This window comes from Homo sapiens, chromosome 15 (genome assembly GCF_000001405.40).
Source record: "Homo sapiens chromosome 15, GRCh38.p14 Primary Assembly".
NCBI lineage: Eukaryota > Metazoa > Chordata > Mammalia > Primates > Hominidae > Homo > Homo sapiens.
Window position 1 is genome coordinate 63,276,875 of NC_000015.10, and position 19,375 is coordinate 63,296,249.

A 19,375-nucleotide genomic window follows, 5' to 3' on the forward strand; every position below is an offset into this window, starting at 1 on the left:
TTCCACCACTCTTTCATCATTTTACCATCTGTGGGTTATCCCCGGGGTCACTGCTATCCCAGCCTAGGTTTTATACAGGATGGAGTACGAAGTTCCCGCAACTATCCAAACGGTAAAATGTGCTTAAAAAAAAAAAAAAACCTATTTAAAAAGGAATCCTGCTTGTTCCTGCGCTACATTTTTGTTTAGTCTCTTTGGTTGACTTGGAATCTCTGCCTGTTCTCGGTGCATGCGGCTCGAAGGTGGGCTAGGGAGCTTCCCTTCTCTTAACCACCTCGCGGCCGGCACTGGAACCCGATCGGAGTGTATCTGTGGGGCTGCGGCGATGGCTGGGGCCCTAACGTCGCCGAGGACGCCCGCCTCGGGAGCAGGAGCTGCGGCGTGGCCCTGGCGCTTCCGGACACCCGGTAGGGCGGAGGGCCCAACGGTGGGGTCCGCGCTCACCGCCTTGAGCCCGCCCCTGCGCCCGGCGCCCTCAGCCCACGCCCCGCCCAGTCCCCCAGGCCCTAGCGTTTACCCCCACGCCCCGCCTCGCCCCGCGACCCACGTACCCCGCCTCCGAGCCCCGCCCCCGCCCCCACGTGCCCCGCCCCCGAGCCCCGCCCCCGTCCCCGTGCCTGCCCATGAGCCGCGCCCCGCCCCCCGCGTCCCGCTTAGCCCCCCACCCCGAGCCCCACCCACCGAACCCCGCCCGCGCCGGGAGCATCTCGCGTCCCCAACGGGCCCCCGGGTCGGTTTCCGCGGTGGCCATGACTGCGGCCGTGTTCTTCGGCTGCGCCTTCATTGCCTTCGGGCCTGCGCTCGCCCTTTATGTCTTCACCATCGCCACCGAGCCGTTGCGTATCATCTTCCTCATCGCCGGGTGAGGCGGTCGCGTCGGGAAACCCGGACGCCGGGGCTCCCCTCCCCCGCTGGGGTTACCCGCGACCCTCGGCGCCCCCACCGCGCGGCTCGACCTTGTTGCGTTTCAGACGGGAGGAGGGTTGAGAGGGGGAGAGCGGAGATCCGGCTCCCCAAAGGCGCCTCGCCCTCTTAGGAAGAAGCGCACACTGGGGGTCAGGGCCTTTTGCCTGGGGCTCATGGGTGGGGTTTAGTGATCCGTGAAGCTACTAAAGTTGTATAAAAAAATTATGGATAAGTTCATATATGCATCCTTCATTTTCTGGAGGGGGAGTCCCTAATTTCCCTCAGATTCTCAAAGGCATGTGTAATCCCCAAAGGGTTAAAAACCATTGGCGTTTAGGATAGTAGTGCGCGACTTCCGCCTATTAGAATCACCTGTGGCCAGGTGCTTTAAAACATGCCGATGCCCACCCCCACCCCGATCCATTGAATCAGAATGTCTAGGGGATGGGATTCGGGCTTCAGAAAAAAAAAAAAAAATTTAAGCTCCTTTTGGATGGTTCCGTTGTGCAGCCGAAGGGTGGAAACCTGTAAAAACACCGAAGCACCTGACTGTGCGTCTCCTTCTGGGAGCTTGGTAAATACCGGACTCTGGTGTCCCATCGCAGTCATCACCTGCCTCTTACTTGCACATACCACATCCCCCCTCCTCTGATGAGTCTCTCTTGGCACCAGACTAGGCCAATGATTCCCGCTTTTCTGCGTTTCTTCACCTCCCACAAACGTATTGAAAGTGCTTCGCTGCATGTCATTTTAAAAATAATAGAGATTTGGGAAGGGTCTGTAAAGCTTGCTATAATCATTAGAATCCCCAGGGGTGCTGTAAGACCTGGAGGGCTTGGATACTGATCCAGATCAGAACACAGGTTTTCAAGTTGAATTTTATACCAGTCACTTTATTAATAGAGATGTAGATATTTTTCTGGAAAAGATACTCATCTTTGCAGATATCTGATCAGTAAATCCATAATTTCTTGTAAGTTTTAAGAATATGAAAATTGCAGTAATCAGGGTTGTGTATTTTCTTGTTTTGGCTCATCAATGGGCAGAGCATTGATTAGAAAGAGTAGCAAATAACCAAGTTTCTAGCTAGATAGTCCTTGGCAGATAGAGTCTGCAGATGTACTTGCAAGTAGCAGGGTCATTGAAAAAAGTAATTGTTGGGAAACCTCAGCCTTCCTCTTGGACACGTTTGTCTCACCAAGGAAAATGCACCGTTAAGAACAACTGATCAGAGTATCACTTTATGAGGACTTTCTTTTCCTTATTGAAACGTCAAGAAATCTCTTCCTTCTCAAGCAGGTTTTTTTTTTTTTCCTGCTTTTAAACATTATTAATCCTGTACTGATGTTCACTTGTAACTTTTTTTCCCGTATTTTTCAGAGCTTTCTTCTGGTTGGTGTCTCTACTGATTTCGTCCCTTGTTTGGTTCATGGCAAGAGTCATTATTGACAACAAAGATGGACCAACACAGAAATATCTGCTGATCTTTGGAGCGTTTGTCTCTGTCTATATCCAAGAAATGTTCCGATTTGCATATTATAAACTCTTAAAGTAAGTTAAATACCTGCCTTACCTTTTTTTTCCCCAGTTAGATTTTAGTTATGATTTGGTCATTTGAAACGTGAATATAGTATTGTATCTATGCCCTCCTACATAGTACTAAGCCAAGAGATTGGTACATTTCCAGCCTGAAAATCTTGAGTGTTCTTTTATCTTGTGGAAATTTCTTATTTCCTTCCTTTCTTCCTTTATTCAAAAAAATATTTCTTGAGAATCAATCCCAGACACTATCCTAGGTACTGGGGATACATCAGTGATTAAAAGACAGAGTCTCTGGCTTCATGGAGCTTATATTATAGTAGGAAGAGACAGACAATAAATGAATGAACAAGAAATACACTGGTATAGTAGGTAAGTGTCATGGAGACAAACAAGCTAGGGAAGCATTAAAACAACTACAGAAATCATTCCAGCTTAGAATGTATATGTTCTCTTTGCCACCACCTAAGTTAATTCTTTTTTTTTTTTTTTTTGAGACAGAGTTTTCGCTCCTGTTGCCCAGGCTGGAGTGCAATGGTGCAATCTCAGCTCACGGCAACCTCTGCCTCCTGGGTTCAAGCGATTCTCCTGCCTCAGCCTCCCGAGTAGCTGGGATTACAGGTGTGCACCACCATGCCCGGCTAATTTTTGTAATTTTAGTAGAGACAGGGTTTCACCATGTTCGCCAGGCTGGTTTCAAACTCCTGACCTCCAGTGATCCGCCCACCTTGGCCTCCCAAAGTGTTAGGATTACAGGCCTGAGCCACCACACCCGGCCAAGATAAATAATTCTTATGGAGACCATGCCTTCCATTATTTTGACTTTAGTAGGGGAAAACAGGAGTTCCTTTTGTGGTATTTCCTGTAGTTTTAAATCTATAATAGAAAATCACATTTTAAAAAATGCCTTGGGTTCCCTTGTTGGGCCAGAAAGTAGGTCTTCTCTAGGACTCACGAGGACCTCACATGAAACCACTGATTTGAAACACAGCTGGAACTTGGAACCATATTTCCTTTCAGGCAGTCATGAAATTGGCTTTGATTATGTAGTAAGTCTTAATAGAGTGATAAATGTGCTGTCTTTTTTCATTTGTACAAATGAAGTAATTAAGGCTGTCCATGAATTTCGTGGATATAACCAAGAGGAACCTCAACAACAACTCTTTTCATAGGCTTCTGTTAACTTGTTCTTGCCAATATGCTAGGTTTTCTGTATTTGTTACTCTTTGCTTTTAATACCAGATACTGAATTCCCTTTTCGTAATGAAGGAATTTAAATTAGGAATTGAAATCCAGGAAGCCATTGCTTAGAAGCAAAAATCATATCTTAGAAAAGTTTCAAAAATGAAATTCCCATTAGTACCTGGAAATATTACATGGGAATAAATAAATATCAAAGGTAACACTGAAATTTCCATGGTAATACAACATCCCTAACAGATGGACATCTAGCTGTGTTTGAATGTTTCTGGTATGTGGCAGTTACTACCATTCTACAATTTTAAGCTTTAACTGTAGAATATCATTAAGGTAACCACATCTACCTCTGCTGGGCTTGGTGGCTCATGCCTGTAACCCTGACATTTTGGGAAAGCAAGGTAGGCCAATTGCTTGAGCTGAGGATTTCGAGACTAGCCTGGGCAACATGGCAAAACCCTGTCTCTACAACAAATACAAAAATTAACTGGGCATAGTGGTCCCAGCTCCTCGGGAGGTTGAGGTGGGAGGATCACTTGAATCTAGGAGGCGGAGGTTGCAGTGAGCCGTGATTGCACCACTGTGCTCCATTCTGGGAGACAGAGCCAGACCCTGTCTAAAAAAAAAACAAACAAGCAAAAACAAAAACTCCCTTCTGACCGCTGCCTTACTCAAGTACCAGGTAAATGAAGTCTCTGCTGCATGGTTATAATTATCTCCCTTTCAAGAATGAACAGTCCTCATTTCTTCACCTGGACCTCAACAGGCATGGTTGTGGCTTCCAAACCTTTCCAAAAGAAAGGCTGTTTGTTCTTTTTGGTCAGTGGACATGACCCTTTTTGTCAGCGCCTGGTTTTTGCCTGTGCTCAGAACCCAGCATGGTATTCTGCAGTGCAGACTAAGTAGTACCCCTGACTGGGCACTGTACTCTTCACAGCTCAGCCTCACATTGCACTGGGTTTTCCTGTCAGTGACATCATTGGCCCATATGCATTTTCATGCCATGGGTCTAATTTTGAAAAAAAAAAAAAAAAACAAAAAAAAACACAATTTCTAATACAGAATTTAAAGTTTAGGACTTGTATGTTCTAAAACCTGAATTATCAGCGTGACAAAATGAGTATGGGCTGTTCTTCACTGCCTTGCATCTTCATGGTTTCCACCTGAAATGGCAACATTTTCCTGGCACTAACTTAGGGCTCCAAAGGACTGTAGCTGAACATAGATCCACATTATTGTTCCTCTTTTTTTTTTTTTAATTTTAATTTTTAAAATTTTCTTTTTACACTGAGGAGCAAGTGTCCACTTTTTTAATGAGGGCAGGAAAGGAGTAGGACCACATGAGGAAGAAATTAAAGCTGTCAGTCTGTAGGCTCGAATGCCAGGAAGTTCAGAGAAGCCTCTTTAGGTTCCTAGGGAAACCATGTGTGCTTTTCTGAAAGGACCTTTGGAAATTTGCAAATGGTAGGACAGACTTGTACTAGCAGGTACGTTTGTTTGCATTTGCAAAAATCATCTTTTACGAGCCTTTAGAATATTCAAAATTTTCCCAGCAAATTTGAGAAATGTTAAATGTTATGTAGATGTATTAAAACAATTTAAGAATTATTATAATGCTTTATTTATGACTGACATTTATATGGATACATTTACATTGCTCTCTTATTCTATATTGCATTCAAATATAGGGAGTTTGGTTTAATCAATACTTTATCTCCACTGCCAAAGTAGGTCTTGAACTTTTAAATTTAAAGTGCTACCTCAGACTTTTGCTATCAGAATTTGGTGCCAAGATTAAAATGTGGAGAGTTTATACCAGTTTTTATAAATATATGGAATTGGATCAAAATATTCATTGCAATCTAATAATAAATAATAGTTTTATTTCATGAGTTAGACCTTAATCACTTAATCTTACTAATCTTGTTCTTACATGAATGAATAGTAACTTTCAGCCTGGCAGAGCCTTGCATAAAGAGAAATTGGCATGTGTGGTAGCCCTTTCTGCAGTAATTTTTTTAAAATCCAAGTTATGTTGCTTAAAATATAATCATATTTTGCCAAAAACATACAGTTTAGACAACTCTATGTTGCTTGAAACTCCTGTATGTTGCTTGAAACTCCTGTATGTTGCCTAAAACAGACATTAGGATTTTTTCTGTTTGGATGGAAACTTTTGTAATTTAATTCAATTTTGTCTTAAAAGGTTGATACCATAAATATTTTGTAATTTTAGAAAATCTTCCATTTATAGAAAAAACATTAAGATAACCATTGCTACAACTTTTAAGCAGCGTGTCTATTTTTAAAAATTCTGAAAATGGCGTATTTAACTTGTATTCATACTCCTTTCTCTCTCTCACACACACATTCGAAAAAGGATAGAACAAATGAGAAAGATGGTGTGATTTAGCAGTAGTTTTTCAAAATTTATATTTTTGAAATTTGAATTGTTTCTTTTTTTGTTCTTGGGAACATAATAATAAATGCAAACAAAGAATTTTCCACTTCAGTAAGATGGACGTGAACCCAGAAACTGATGATGTTTTGTACTTTCTCACTTCCTGATGTTGACATTGAGAACTCTTAGTGCTGTTAGTTTTCCTCCCACGTACTTCCATAACGTAGAATTAGGAAGCTTATTAAACTTTTTAGTTTATTTATTTAATATATTTGTGATAGTAGTACTTTGTTGTATCAAATAGCTAAAATCTTTGATTGATTCACTGATTGACACAGTCTCGCTCTGTCACCCAGGCTAGAGTGCAGTGGCGCAATCATGGCTCACTGCAACTTCCGCCTCCGGGGCTCAAGCAATCCTCCCACCCTCAGCCTCCTGAGTAGCTAAGACTATAAGTGCGTGCCACCACACCCAGCTAACTTGTATTTTTTTGGTAGAGACATAGGCTCCTTATGTTGCCCAGGCTGGTCTCAAACTCCTGAGCTCAAGCGACCCGCCCACCTCAGCCACCCAAAATGCTGGTATTACAGGTGTGAGCCACCATGCCCAGACAATTTATCTCTTAAATTGATTATTTGTCTTTTTATTATTGAGTTGTAAGAGTTCTGTAGATATAAGTCCTTTTTCAAATATGATTTGCAAATATTTTCTCCCATCTGTGTTGTCTCTTCACTTTCTTGATAGTGTCCTTTGTAGCATCAAAGTTTTTAATTTTGGTGAGGTTCATCTGTTTACTTTTTCTTTAGTTGCTTGTGGTTTAGGTGTATGTATTTGAGAAACCATTACCCAACCCACGGTCATGAAGACTGGCACCTATGTATTCTTCTGACAGTTTTATAGTTTTAGCTCTGATAGCTGGACTTTTCACTCATTTTTAGTTTTTATATATGGTGTAAGGTAATGGTCCACCTTCATTCTTTTGTATGTGATTATCTAGTTGTTCTGTCACCATTTATTAAAAGACCATCTCTCTTTCCTCATTGAATCATCTTGCACTCTTGTTGAAAATCGGTTGACTGTATTTACAGTTTATTGCTGGACTGTCAATTTTATTCTGTTAATCTGTGTGTCTGCCCTTACACCAGTATAAGATGATCTTGAATATTTTACTTTTGTAGTAAGTTTTGAAATGGAGAAGTGTAAGTCTTTTAACTTTGTTGTTGTTTTTTATAAAAACTATTAACAGTTGTTTATTATCATTATGAAGTATTATATACTGTACATAATTGTATGTGCTTTGCTTTTTTTTTTTTTTTGAGACAGGGCCTCTCTGTTGCCCAGGCTAGAGTGCAGTGGTGCAATCTCAGCTCACTGCAGCCTCCACCTCCTTGGCTCAAGCCATCCTCCCACCTCAGCCTCCCAGGTAGCTGGGACTATGGGCACACACCACCACACCCGGCTCATTTTTGTATTTTCTGTAGAGATGGGGATTCACCATGTTGCCCAACCTGGTCTCAAACTCCTGCGCTCAAGTGACTTGTTTGCCTTGACTTCCCAAAATGCTGAGATTATAGGCGTGGGCCACTGCGCCTGGCCAATATGTGCTGTGCTTTTATATGACTGGCATTGCACTAGGTTTGTTTACACCAACATCACCACAAACACGGGGGGTGATGCATTATGCTACAACATTATGACGTCACTAGGCAATAGGGATTTTTTAGCTCCATTATAATAATGACTACCATCATATGTGCAGTCCATTGTTGACTGAAATGTTGCTATGCAACAGATAACTGTATTTTATTTTATTAACTTTTACGTTCAAGGGTACACATGCAGGTTTGTTACCTGGGTAAATTGTGATCCTCTCCCTCCTCCCACTCTAGTCTCAACTAGGCCTGTTTTTCCCTTCTTTGTGTCCACATGGATACAAGTCTTTTATTTATTATCGAGGAATTTATAGAAAACAGAAATCTTCCCACATTTTTTGATTCTACTATATTGATATATTTGTTGACAGAGATTTTTACTATATATGTGTCCCATAAGCTTTAATTCACTTTTAACGGTATCACTATGAGAGGTAAGTTTATTTTTAGGAAAATTGGACATTTTAGTTGGTTACTGCTTCAGAGAAAGAAGATGGTCACTTAAATTTCTGGCTCATGTCCTCACTACCAAATGCTTCCAGATGGAGAGCACCAAAATGGCAGATTGTTTCTTTTGAGTCTAGAAAAGCACTCCCTTCACTAGGCTTATCCCTATTTTGGTTGAATTCTACATTGCCTTAATTTAATGTAATCAATGATATTTATATTTATGTAAAGAATAAGCTGACTATAATGAATACCCATACCCTGAAATTTAAAGTAACACAATGCCCAGAAAGTAAGTATGTTCTGGTTAATTTAATTGTCTATTCTTAGAGTTAACCTGTCTTGTTTCAACATTTGCTAAAAAATCATTTTTAAAATGTTTTGGTTCTTTTGTTGCCTTAATAAATATACTTTATAGTAAATATAATTTAAATATTCTTTGAGTCAGGATCTTACATTATTGCAGAGTTTTCTCACCAACAAGAATTGGTAATAGTGATGCTAGTAGAATTGACCAGCCACACCAGCATTCCTAACAAATCTGCATGGCACTCATGGTAAGCTTATAAATTGGCCACAACAGAAGGATGCATAAGATCACTCTGAAGATCACTTCTTTATTTTATTTTATTTTTAATAGAGACAGGATCTTGCTGTGTGGTCCAGGCTGGTCTCGAACTCCTGGATGCAAGTGATCCTCCTGCCTTGGCCTCCCAAAGTGCTGAGCCACCATGCTCGGCTGAAGATTATTTTCTCTTGAGCAGTATTCTGTTCTTTCATTCAAGGGTTCATTTATGTCCTGTTCTGAGGGTAGCATTTTATTCTGCAAGATACAACGAAAGTATCAGATCACTTTCTCCCTTGAAGCCTTATTGGTGATATAAAACAAATATGTAAAACGTTTTAGAATCAGAAGATCATATGATTAAATACTCGTGAGAGTTCAGACCATCAGTATTATAGGATTTAAGAATAAGGAGAGATTAGTGATTACCAACCATTGGTAGGCAGCTTCTTTAACAAATCGCTGCCTGAAGTGGACTCTGAAGGATGAGTGTAGTTTAGGTTCTACAGAGTGGAAGGTACAAGGGAGGGTGACAGAGCCAGTATAGTCCTGGTGGAAGATAGAACAAAGTGCCAACAAAGCAGGAATAAGGATACAGTACTTTGGGAAGGGGAAAAAAATCAGAGTGGTAGATCCCATAGGATATTGAATTAAATATTTGCCGAGTTCAGCAAGCAGTTGAAAGTGTTGCGGTTTTTATCTTTTTAAATTCAATTCCTGACGGCTTGTTTACTTATATTTTTCTTATTCTTTTATGGGAATGTCAAAAGGTAAAAATTAGTTGGCAATTTTGGTTGATGTTAGTTCATTGAAAATTTGCTGGGTTTGTTTAAATAAATTACAGATTTAGAGTATAACCTGATGCAAAGCCTCAGTGAGTATCTGGGTTTGAAGTGTCTTGTTGGACTTTCCTGATATATTGCTCTTCCTTTTTTTTTTTTTTTTCTTCTTAATTACATGTGTGGTTTTATTTTAGAAAAGCCAGTGAAGGTTTGAAGAGTATAAACCCAGGTGAGACAGCACCCTCTATGCGACTGCTGGCCTATGGTAAGTTAGAACCACATGGTTTCATTAAGGAAAAAAATCATACTTGGCATAAAAGTCATTTGCATCTTTTGTATCTTTGTAGATTTCAAGTAGTTGTTTATTACTGCCTTGGCCTATTGGTGTACATATTTGCTTATTATCCCCGTCTTCCAGGTTCCTTTTGTAAATGAAAATGATTGCAAGTGACCCTTACCTGTATGTCCATTGTATATTAACCAGGTTTGAAAGTTAGATTTTTAATGTGTATGTACCCTAGTTAACTAAGATTTTCTAGATGATGAAACTGTTACTTTCTCTGAATCTTACTTTGGCTTTTCTAGGAGTACTCTTCATATTAAAGCAGTTAATATCTCTGCGTATTACACTTTGAGAATTATGTTTAAGATTGGATCTAGGTTCCCCACTTGGGCTCAGGAATACACAGTTCCCCTTTACACTCAATTTCAGTTCTAAGCCATCAAACTTAACTCTGTAGACTCTGTTATCATAAAGTAAGCCGGAGTTTTGGTGTTGTATCCTCTGTCTCACCTATTTCTTCTGTGCCTTTCTAGACCCTTTTCTCCCCTTTTTCATTACTCTGCTGCATTCTGCCATTCATTTCCTTTCCTCTTCCCGCTTCCCTCTCTGATTCATCATTTAGCCAAGCACATGCCTCTCCAGAGCCAGCTGTCCACTGCTTCAGGAAGAACATAAGCACCCTTTCCCCTCCAACACACTTTGTATTAACTAGTCCTTGGAAATTTGACTTGAAATCTTGGCAGGAAAAGAGTTAACAGTGTTTTTCTTCCTGTTTAGTTTCTGGCTTGGGCTTTGGAATCATGAGTGGAGTATTTTCCTTTGTGAATACCCTATCTGACTCCTTGGGGCCAGGCACAGTGGGCATTCATGGAGATTCTCCTCAATTCTTCCTTTATTCAGGTATGTGTCTCATAGCTGTCAACATTCAGGCTTCTAGTCTAAATGATCATTCTTATTGGGGTTCACTGGCTTAGGAATTTCAGTGGATTGGAATTTATGTTATGTCTTTTAAAGGCGAAATACTCTGAGGCACTGTGAAGTAAAAGACTTAGGAAAATAAAAATTCTGGTTAGAGTGTTTTAGAATTTTGGAGTGGAATTTAGCTTGCGTAAAATTTTATTTTGCTGTACTGACAATGTTGCTATATAGTTGAAATGTTAGAAGTGAATTTTTAAAGGCCATGTGCTCTTTTTGGTTTTTATGATTTTATGTTATCTTCAGTAGAAGCCCTAATCTATAATTGTCATTGTGGTGCCTTTTGTGGGAATAGGCAGTAAAATTTAATCTGAAATTGAGAGGAAAAATGGGATAATAGATGAGTTGATCATTTCATCCAAATGATGCAGCTAAAAGGACCAACTCATTTCAAATTGCTTTTTCGTCCACGAGCTAAAAATTGTCATCATGATGCAGTGATCACAAATTTGAGAGTTGGTAGCGTACATAATTAACATAGATTTCTTCTAAGTTCCACAAGAAGACTCTTTTAAAAATAGGGGGAGAACACCCACTGTATTTTTAGTCGTTTCCACAACAGTTATGCCATTGAAATAACTGAGTTCACATCATGATTTGTATCTTCTTTTAATAACATCTATGCTAAAGCTCCTCAGGGAGCTTATCCTCTAATAAGGGAATAAGAGAAAAAAAAGTGAATAAGCATTTCAGTAACACTTTAAGGTAATAATGGAAAAGATATAAAGAGGTATGACCAATTTTTAAAAATTTCTGCAGTAGTTTAGAGGCATGTTGAATGTCATAGTGATCCCCAAGCCCAGTGGACACTCATTCACCATTCGCAGTAGACCCTTTGTTTCCATTTCAGTTCAGGCCTTGACATCTCCTCTCTGGCTTACCATCATCTGCCCTCAACTGGTTAGTCTTTCCTTGACACACTATTCATGTGAATCCTGTATGCAACTACCTAACTAATCTTCCCTGCTGCAAAAATGGTTTGGCTTTTCAGGGCCTAGAGGAGAGAGTCAAGGCCCTTTAAATCTGGCTGCAAGTTAGAGGACAAGAAAGTGTGTTAATGGGTCATACTTATTTAATGGTGCTTCCAACATAGCAAATTATCTTTCTTTTGAACATTTCATCATTGGCATATTTCTGGCAAATGTGTTAATGATTGATTATACTGAGTGTTAGGTCTTTAAAACAAATGTAATATTAGTAAAGTCTGTTAGAACCCGATGAAAATTAATAAAACATAATCGTAAGGGGTGTTAGTGCTACAGTTTGTTTTCTGTTTTCATATACAGTTAACACGGCTCTCTCTCCCTGCTACAGTTTTCTTTTGATATACAGGTTTTGCCAGCTTTTTTCACTAGATGGTGCTAATTCCCTTTAGTGACCTAGGCTGTTTTCATACGATGTTTAAAATGATTCTTTTGGTAGTAAAAGAAAAATTTGATACCAATTTGGGGATTGTATTTGTAATTTCTAGGAATTAAAGGAAAAATTCAATATTCAGTAAGCTATCTTAATGTCTTTAGCTAAGTTAGCATGGCAGACTGGCTATGTTATAAATTTGTATCTATAGAATGAAAGAACAGTGTTGTTTTATCATTTGCAAGTTTCTTACTGTTATAACATCATTCTTTGAAGCATAAACTTTGAATTATAAATTTAAGAAATTAATTTGTATTACATTTAAAAATAAGATCCCCAAATTTATATTTATTGTATTTATGTTATTTATAACTACTTGTAATTACCATTTATTTAGACACAACTCATTTTTGCCAGGTAAATCCATAACTTTATATGTTTAGTATACTCCATTACAAATGCCTAAATAATAATCAGAATAAATAAGGAATGTAGGGTCACTAATTACAGATTAAGCATTTTTAATCCAAAAATCCAAAATCCAAAAATGCTCCAACATCCAAAACTTCCTTCACCGACATGACGCCACAAGTAGGAAATTTCACACCTGACCTTGTGTGATGGGTCACAGTCAGAACAAGAAAAAACTGTTTCATGCACAAAATTATTAAAAATATTGTGTAAAATTACCTTCAGTCTGTGTGTATCAGATATATATGAAATGCAAATGAATTTCATGTTTTGGCCAGGTGTGGTGGCTCATGCCTGTAATCCCAACACTTTGGGAAGCCAAGGCAGGAGAATCACTTGAGCTCAGGAGTTTGAGACCAGCCTGGGCAATATAGTGAGACCTTGTCTCTACTAAAAATTAAAAAATTCAGCTGGGTATGGTGGTGCCCACCCATGGTCCCAGCTACTCAGGAGGCCGAGGTGGGAGAATCATTGAGCCCGGGAGGTTGAGACTGCAGTGAGCTGTGATCGTCCCACTGCAATCCAGCCTGAGTAACAGAGGGATACTCTGTTTCAAGAGAAAAAAAAAAAAGAATTTCATGTTTAAACTTGAGTCTTATCCCCTAAATATCTCATTTTATATATATAGATGCACAAATATTTCAAAATTTGAAACACTTCTGGTCCCAAACATTTCAGATAAGGGATATTCAGCCTGTAGTATATATCTGTCTATATTAGTATGTGTTAATAAGATCCATACTATATGATACCTGTGTGTACATAGGCTCTTATGTTACAAACAGGCATAGTTTATAAATAATGTTTATGTATAGGTTACTTCTTTTTTATTTGTGGTTATGTTGTAGGCTAGCATTAAATTTTACTAGAATCATTACCATTTCTTGGTAATTTTGTATAGAGACAAAAGTATGGGAATTGGAATCCTAGGTTCGAATCTTATCCTGGCTCATTAATTTAGTATTTTGGGCAAGTCCATTTGATTATTGAATCACTCATTCCATACATAATTATTAAATGTTTTTAGTCTAAAGGAGTTATACCAAGCTATGAAAATAGAGCCCAGTTACCATTCATAACTTCCATTCATAGTGGGGAATAAAGACAAACAGCTAATTACAATAAAGCATGATCAATGCTACAGTGAAATGAGGAAGAGCCATGGGGCACAAAGGACAGGCTGTAACCCATGCTCCCAGGCCACAGTACCTTGGCTTTGCAGCATTTATCACAGGCGTCATTAAGTAATGGTATAGTTATTTGTTGAATGTCTTTTTCTCCAGTTGGGTGCTAAGCCATGCAAGTGCAAGGACGACATCTGTATTGTTCACTGCTCTGTCCTCGGCATCTTGTGGAGTCCTTTATTTCTAGATGGCACTCAATAAATAACTTACAGAAAAATGAAAGCCAGGCACAGCTTATGGAGGAAGTGCCATAACGAGTAGAGATTTACTTAAAGGGTGAATAATAGCTAGGCAGGCAAAGAAAGGAGTTGTCAGAGAAAGATGTTCGAGGCAGAGGGAAGAGGCCTCTTTCCTCCAGGCCTGGAGGTAAGAGCAGTATTGTTCACAGGGCAAAGGAAGTCTTGTCCTTCCATCTAATCTTCAATTTCCTGATCTTTCAGGAAGGGCAGAAATAACGCCTAGCTCAGAGTTGTTGAGAATTAAATGAAATTAATTTAGAGAATATGTATTTAAGTGCTTATAAGCTCTAAACTGGCCTAAGAATATTATTAAGGTGGAGAATTTAGCGCTTGAGATGAGAAAACAGAATTCAGAGAGAAGATAATTTTTCTAGTATTATATAGAATCTGGGTTTTTCATTCCGAATTACCTCCCTTATGCTTTAGAAGAAAAAATGTCTTTAGCTAGTACCTAGTAAAAAAGAACAGCTGATCATTTTATTTTAAAAAATTCCCCAGACCATTTCACTTCTATTATATTTTCTAGACAGTGCACTTAAAACCTAGGCAAGCTTTTAAACTTTTTAGCCACTAAACGTTTCACAAGGGAAAACCAATATGGGTCAGACCACATATGGAGTGTTGTATTGTTCCAAGCATTGTGATTTAACAGGAATACTGAAGAAGTAAAATTCATATAGAAAGAATGTTGTCAGTATGATAGAAGATCTAGAAGCCATGGCCTGTGGGATATGACTGAAGAAAGAAAAATACTGAGCTTGAAGAAAATAAAAGAGGAATGTGGGAGATTATTTTTGTCCCAATTTGTCATTTCCTGTAATAAGTCTCATGGTGGCTGGAATGTTCTTTTCTACCCTTTGACTTTGAGCTCAGTCATGTGGCTTGAATTGGCCAATTAGTGGTTATGATGTAAGTTAGAGGCTTAAAAAGTATTTGCATGATTGGACCTTCCTTCTTGGACTCTGGTGCCATGAGAAGAAGATACCTTGGGAAGTTAATGGCCACTTAGCCTGGACCCTTGAATGAATATACCCAGAGCCACACAGAGCCCACCCCAGGAGCTTGCAGCAGAGTTTTCCAGCTGATCCCAGCCTTTATCAGCAATGCACAGTCAGCCTTTAGACCTGTGAGCATGAGAATAAATTTTTGTTACTGTAACCCAATACATTTTTTATCTTTCATTCACTTTTCTATTCGTAATATTTTAAGAATAATCTCTACAGTGTGGCAGTTTGTTAAAGTTTAGACTCGACTGAAAGCTCTTTGTAAGCAAGACTATCTCAATACCTACATTTCCAAATTCCAAAGTAGTAGAGAAAGTATAACATCTCCTAATGATACAGAAAAAATGATCAACAATAGATTGTAACCTGCAGTTCTTATCCTTTTATGATTTCATTAGAATCTTAATTTCTTGTAATAAGTTGTCACAACTAACTGCTACTGTTTATGATACAGTGATACTCTATACGCTGTATATATCATCGAATTTGTATTTTTCATTATCTGTTTTCTCTTTCTCTTTTTTTCTAAGAGATAAGGTCTTGCTCTGTCACTCTGTCACTGGAATGCAGTGTTAATGATCTTAGCTCTCTATAACCTTGAACTCCTGGGCTCAAGTGATCCTCCCACTCAGCCTCCCAAGTAGCTAGGACCACAGGCATGTGCTGCTATGCCCAGCTAATTTTTGTATTTTTTGTGGAGATGGGGGTCTCCTTATGTTGCCCGGGCTAGTCCCAAACTCCTGGCCTCAAGCAATCCTCCTGCCTCAGCCTCCCAAAGTGCTGGGATTATAGGGTGTGAGCCACCACGCCTGGCTTGTTTTCTTTATATCAATAGTGTAAGCCTTTCTTTCCAGCTGCTCAAATAACTGAGAATAGAAAATTGTACTTTTTGGAATGCACTTTCATTAAATGGATATGACCTATCATAGTCTCTAGTAGCTTGTGATACATTATGAAATGCACACATCACAGGCATCAGTCTTCAGGCAGTGTGTAAGCAGGCAGCTCAGTGTATTGCTTCACAGTCTCTAGCTGAAAGAATGACATGGGCTGCGGCTGTAAGACTTGATGGCTCTTCTAGGTATGTTTCAGGCCACACTGAATCACTGATGTCTCTTTCCTCACACGGATGAATGGCTAGGCTCTGCTGACTACCTTTCGGCGCAGTTGAATGACTTGCACTTCTCCATTCTCTATAGACCTTGTTTCTTCTCATGGGTAAAATTGTCCTTATTTTCGTCAGCCACTGCTGCCTTTATTTTTAGTTATTTATTTTATTTTATTTTACTTTTCTTTTTTTTTTTACTGAGACCGAGTCTTACTCTGTTGCCCAGGCTGGAGTGCAGTGGTGCGGTCTCGGCTCACTGCAAGCTCTGCCTCTCGGGTTCATGCCATTCTCCTGCCTCACCCTCCCCAGTAGCTGGGACTACAGGCGCCTGCCACCACGCCTGGCTAATTTTTTGTATTTTTAGTAGAGATGGGGGTTTCACCATGTAGGCCAGGCTGTTCTTGAACTCCTGACCTCAGGTGATCTGCCTGCCTCAGCCGCCCAGATTGCTGGGATTACAGGCGTAAGCCACCGCACCTGGCCTGTTTTTTTGTGTGTTTTTCTTCTTCTTCTTCTTTTTTTTTTTTTTCTTGAGACAGAGTCTTGCTCTGTTGCCCAGGCTGGAGTGCAGTGGCACGATCTTGGCTCACTGCAACCTCCGCCTTCCAGGTTCAAGCGATTCTCCTGCCTCAGCCTTCTGAGTAGCTGGGATTACAGGAGTGCGCCACCCTGCGCAGCTGATTTTTGTATTTTTAGGAGAGACAGGGCTTCGCTATGTTGGTCAGGTTTTTCTCGAACTCCTGACCTCGTCATCTGCCCGCTTTGGCCTTCCAAAGTGTGGCCTATTTGTTTATGTTTTGAGACAGGGTCTTGCTCTGTCACCTAGGCTGGAGTGGAGTGGTGTGATCATGGCTCACTGCATCCTTGACCTCTGAGACTCAAACAATCCTGCCACTTCAGCCTCAAGTAGCTGGGACCACAGGCACATGCCACTAAACTCAGCTAATTTTTTTTTTTTTCCTGTAGAGATGGGGTCTCACTATGTTGTCCAGGCTGGTCTTGAACTCCTGGGCTCAAGTGATTCTCCTGCCTCAACCTCCTGAAATGCTGTACCTAGCCACTGCTGCTTTTAATTTTCGGTGTTTTGGGGGTTTTGTTTCTTTTTCTTCAGTGAATTTCACAGACATTTTTTTTTTTGTAGCCACAGTGAGCAGGATACCATATTACAGGTTACTGTCCTGTAGATATGATTGCATGAGACAAAAGTCCCATTTTTAAAACATCATCCAGTATGGTATCACTCTTCACTCAGCCCCATAGGAATACATATTTTATTAATTACATCTAATATTTATCATTTGAAAGGGAAAAAAAATCCCACTATTTCCAACTTTATTGCTCAGTCTAGCCCCGCCCCCCGGCAACCTCTCAGCTTGATCCCATGCAGCTCCATGGCCATGTTGGGAATTTGGCCTGGGAATCCCAGCATTTATCAACCTCCTCCATGCCCACTTCTTACCAAAGATGTTCTTCAGTGCTGGGACCACTTGTACCAGTTCACTTTTCCCCCTTTCCACAGCTCTGCTAAAGACAGTCGTAAGGTTCACGTCAGGGTTCCTGCATTGCCCCACTTCCCACTTTTAGGGGAATGGTTCATACTGTAACATGTTTCACTTACTGTGCAGTGTTCCAACACTATTTCCTGGAAACAAACTTATTTGCATAAATGTTTGGAAATCTCTTGTTTCTTTGGAGGAATTAATCAGCTTTGAGGTTTACTTTAATGGGTGGATTTATTGGATTTTACTGCCTTTTATAGTTATTCGAAACCCTCACCAAAGACTTATACTTGAATATTTTTCGTGAGATCAAAGTCCTTTGTTTCGGGTGGTAAGCTACATTTTCATCTCTAGTGAGGCTTTCTCCCTACATTCAGTGGACAACAATTTTAAATACTGCTGACTTCTTATCAGAAATTCTGGAAGGCAGTGGAACAAGGTCTTTAAAATGGTGCACTCCTGCACCCTTCCTCATCTCAGTTAATGGAATTCCATCCTTCCAGGTGCTCAGTTATTTCTTAGAATATTTCCTGATTCTTCCCTTTTTCTCCCATAACTTACATCCATTCCAACTGTAAACCTTACCTGCAATTTCCATCTAAATCTTCATCCAAGGTCTTATGGGCTTAGCTTTGCTTTATAAATGGCATAGATCAGGTTTGAGAGCTTGTTTGGAGCAAACATTTAAAGAAATGGTAAATCTGATTTTGCTGAAACTATTCTAGGCTAGAGACAAACATAGAAATTAATTAGTTTTGTGAAGTCAGTGAAGCATTAATAGAAAGTAATAGAATCCCGAGAACCTGTATCCATTGCCCGCTGCCTGAAGGCAGGTCCCCCATTAGGGGATTGTACTCCAGGCTGCCTTGGGCCTCATGATCCCAATGGCAGCTCTAGCCAGTGAGTTTAGGCCTGTTTTTTGTTTTGTTTTGTTTTGCAGCATTTTTGTGACAGTAGCTGGTTGCTGCAGGGAGTTTCAAATGTTTTTTAATGTGCTACATATAGAAAAAAAGAGTTGACTTGTGGTTCTTCAAAGAGCCTTCTCAGGATCAGTGAGCAGGAGTTAGAGCAGGGTTTCTCAACCTCACCACTATTGACACCTGGGGCCAGATGATTCTTGGTTGGGGGCTGACATGTGTGTTATGGGGTGTTTAACAGCACCCCTGGCCTCTGTCCACTAGATGCCAGAAGCACCCCTGTCCCCCAGTTGTGATAACCCAAAATGTCTACAGACATTGACATATTCCCTCTATGGGCCAAATCATCCCAGCTGAAAATCACTACTGAGTTAAAAGAAGGCAGATTTGGGTTCGGTTTGAGAAGGAACTTTCTCATAGTGGCCATTTAATGAAATGAAATTGGAAGTATTTTGGACCATGTGGGTTATCTTCATTGTGTAGAGGACGGGATCAGACAACTTCTAGCAAACCTCCCAATGCTGACTCCACAGTGATGAGCTAATTTGAGGAGAGTGTTTCATAATTCTTCAGCATTTTCTAGGGGGACTTTAAACATTAAAATAATGTCTTAGAGAAGGTTATTTGATTAGCAATCTATATCTATATTACAGTAAATCAGGCCGCAGAATTCTCTTACATTCTTTAAAACAAAAATGTTAAGTTAAATCCCCATTAGAGAAAGTCATTTTCAAAAGCATTCATTCAGCTCTGGGGCCCGACTCCCACTTGTGCCAGCTGACTGGGGGATCTCTCAAGAGTCTGGAGAGTTTCTACGGCCAGGATGGATGGAGGAGTGTCTCCTGCTTCA

At 40.1% G+C, this 19,375-nt stretch overlaps 1 protein-coding gene across 5 annotated transcripts in view, besides 2 other annotated features; it reads left to right on the plus strand.

Moving 5' to 3' along the window:
* Positions 258-677: a silencer, noted in NCBI's record as "silent region_6513". NCBI's record gives its function as "represses an Ori minimal core promoter by ATAC-STARR-seq in GM12878 lymphoblastoid cells {active_cell/tissue: GM12878}" and the evidence as "EXISTENCE:reporter gene assay evidence [ECO:0000049][PMID:35858748]".
* APH1B (aph-1B gamma-secretase subunit) overlaps positions 731-19,375 on the plus strand; it is a 31,522-nt gene continuing 12,877 nt past the window's right edge. For 3 of the 5 annotated variants that reach the window (XR_007064490.1, NM_031301.4, XM_011522105.4), the window contains exons 1-4: positions 731-862; positions 2,287-2,457; positions 9,684-9,754; positions 10,550-10,672. Coding sequence is in view for 4 of the 5 variants with exons in the window: in NM_031301.4 (NP_112591.2) it covers positions 750-862; positions 2,287-2,457; positions 9,684-9,754; positions 10,550-10,672 (478 nt within the window). In the remaining variant the exon portion in view is untranslated. Of the gene's footprint in view, positions 863-1,456; positions 1,481-2,286; positions 2,458-9,683; positions 9,755-10,549; positions 10,673-19,375 lie in introns of those variants that run through there. The other 2 variants (XM_024450085.2, NM_001145646.2) reach the window with 2 other exon arrangements.
* Positions 758-1,037: a silencer, noted in NCBI's record as "silent region_6514". NCBI's record gives its function as "represses an Ori minimal core promoter by ATAC-STARR-seq in GM12878 lymphoblastoid cells {active_cell/tissue: GM12878}" and the evidence as "EXISTENCE:reporter gene assay evidence [ECO:0000049][PMID:35858748]".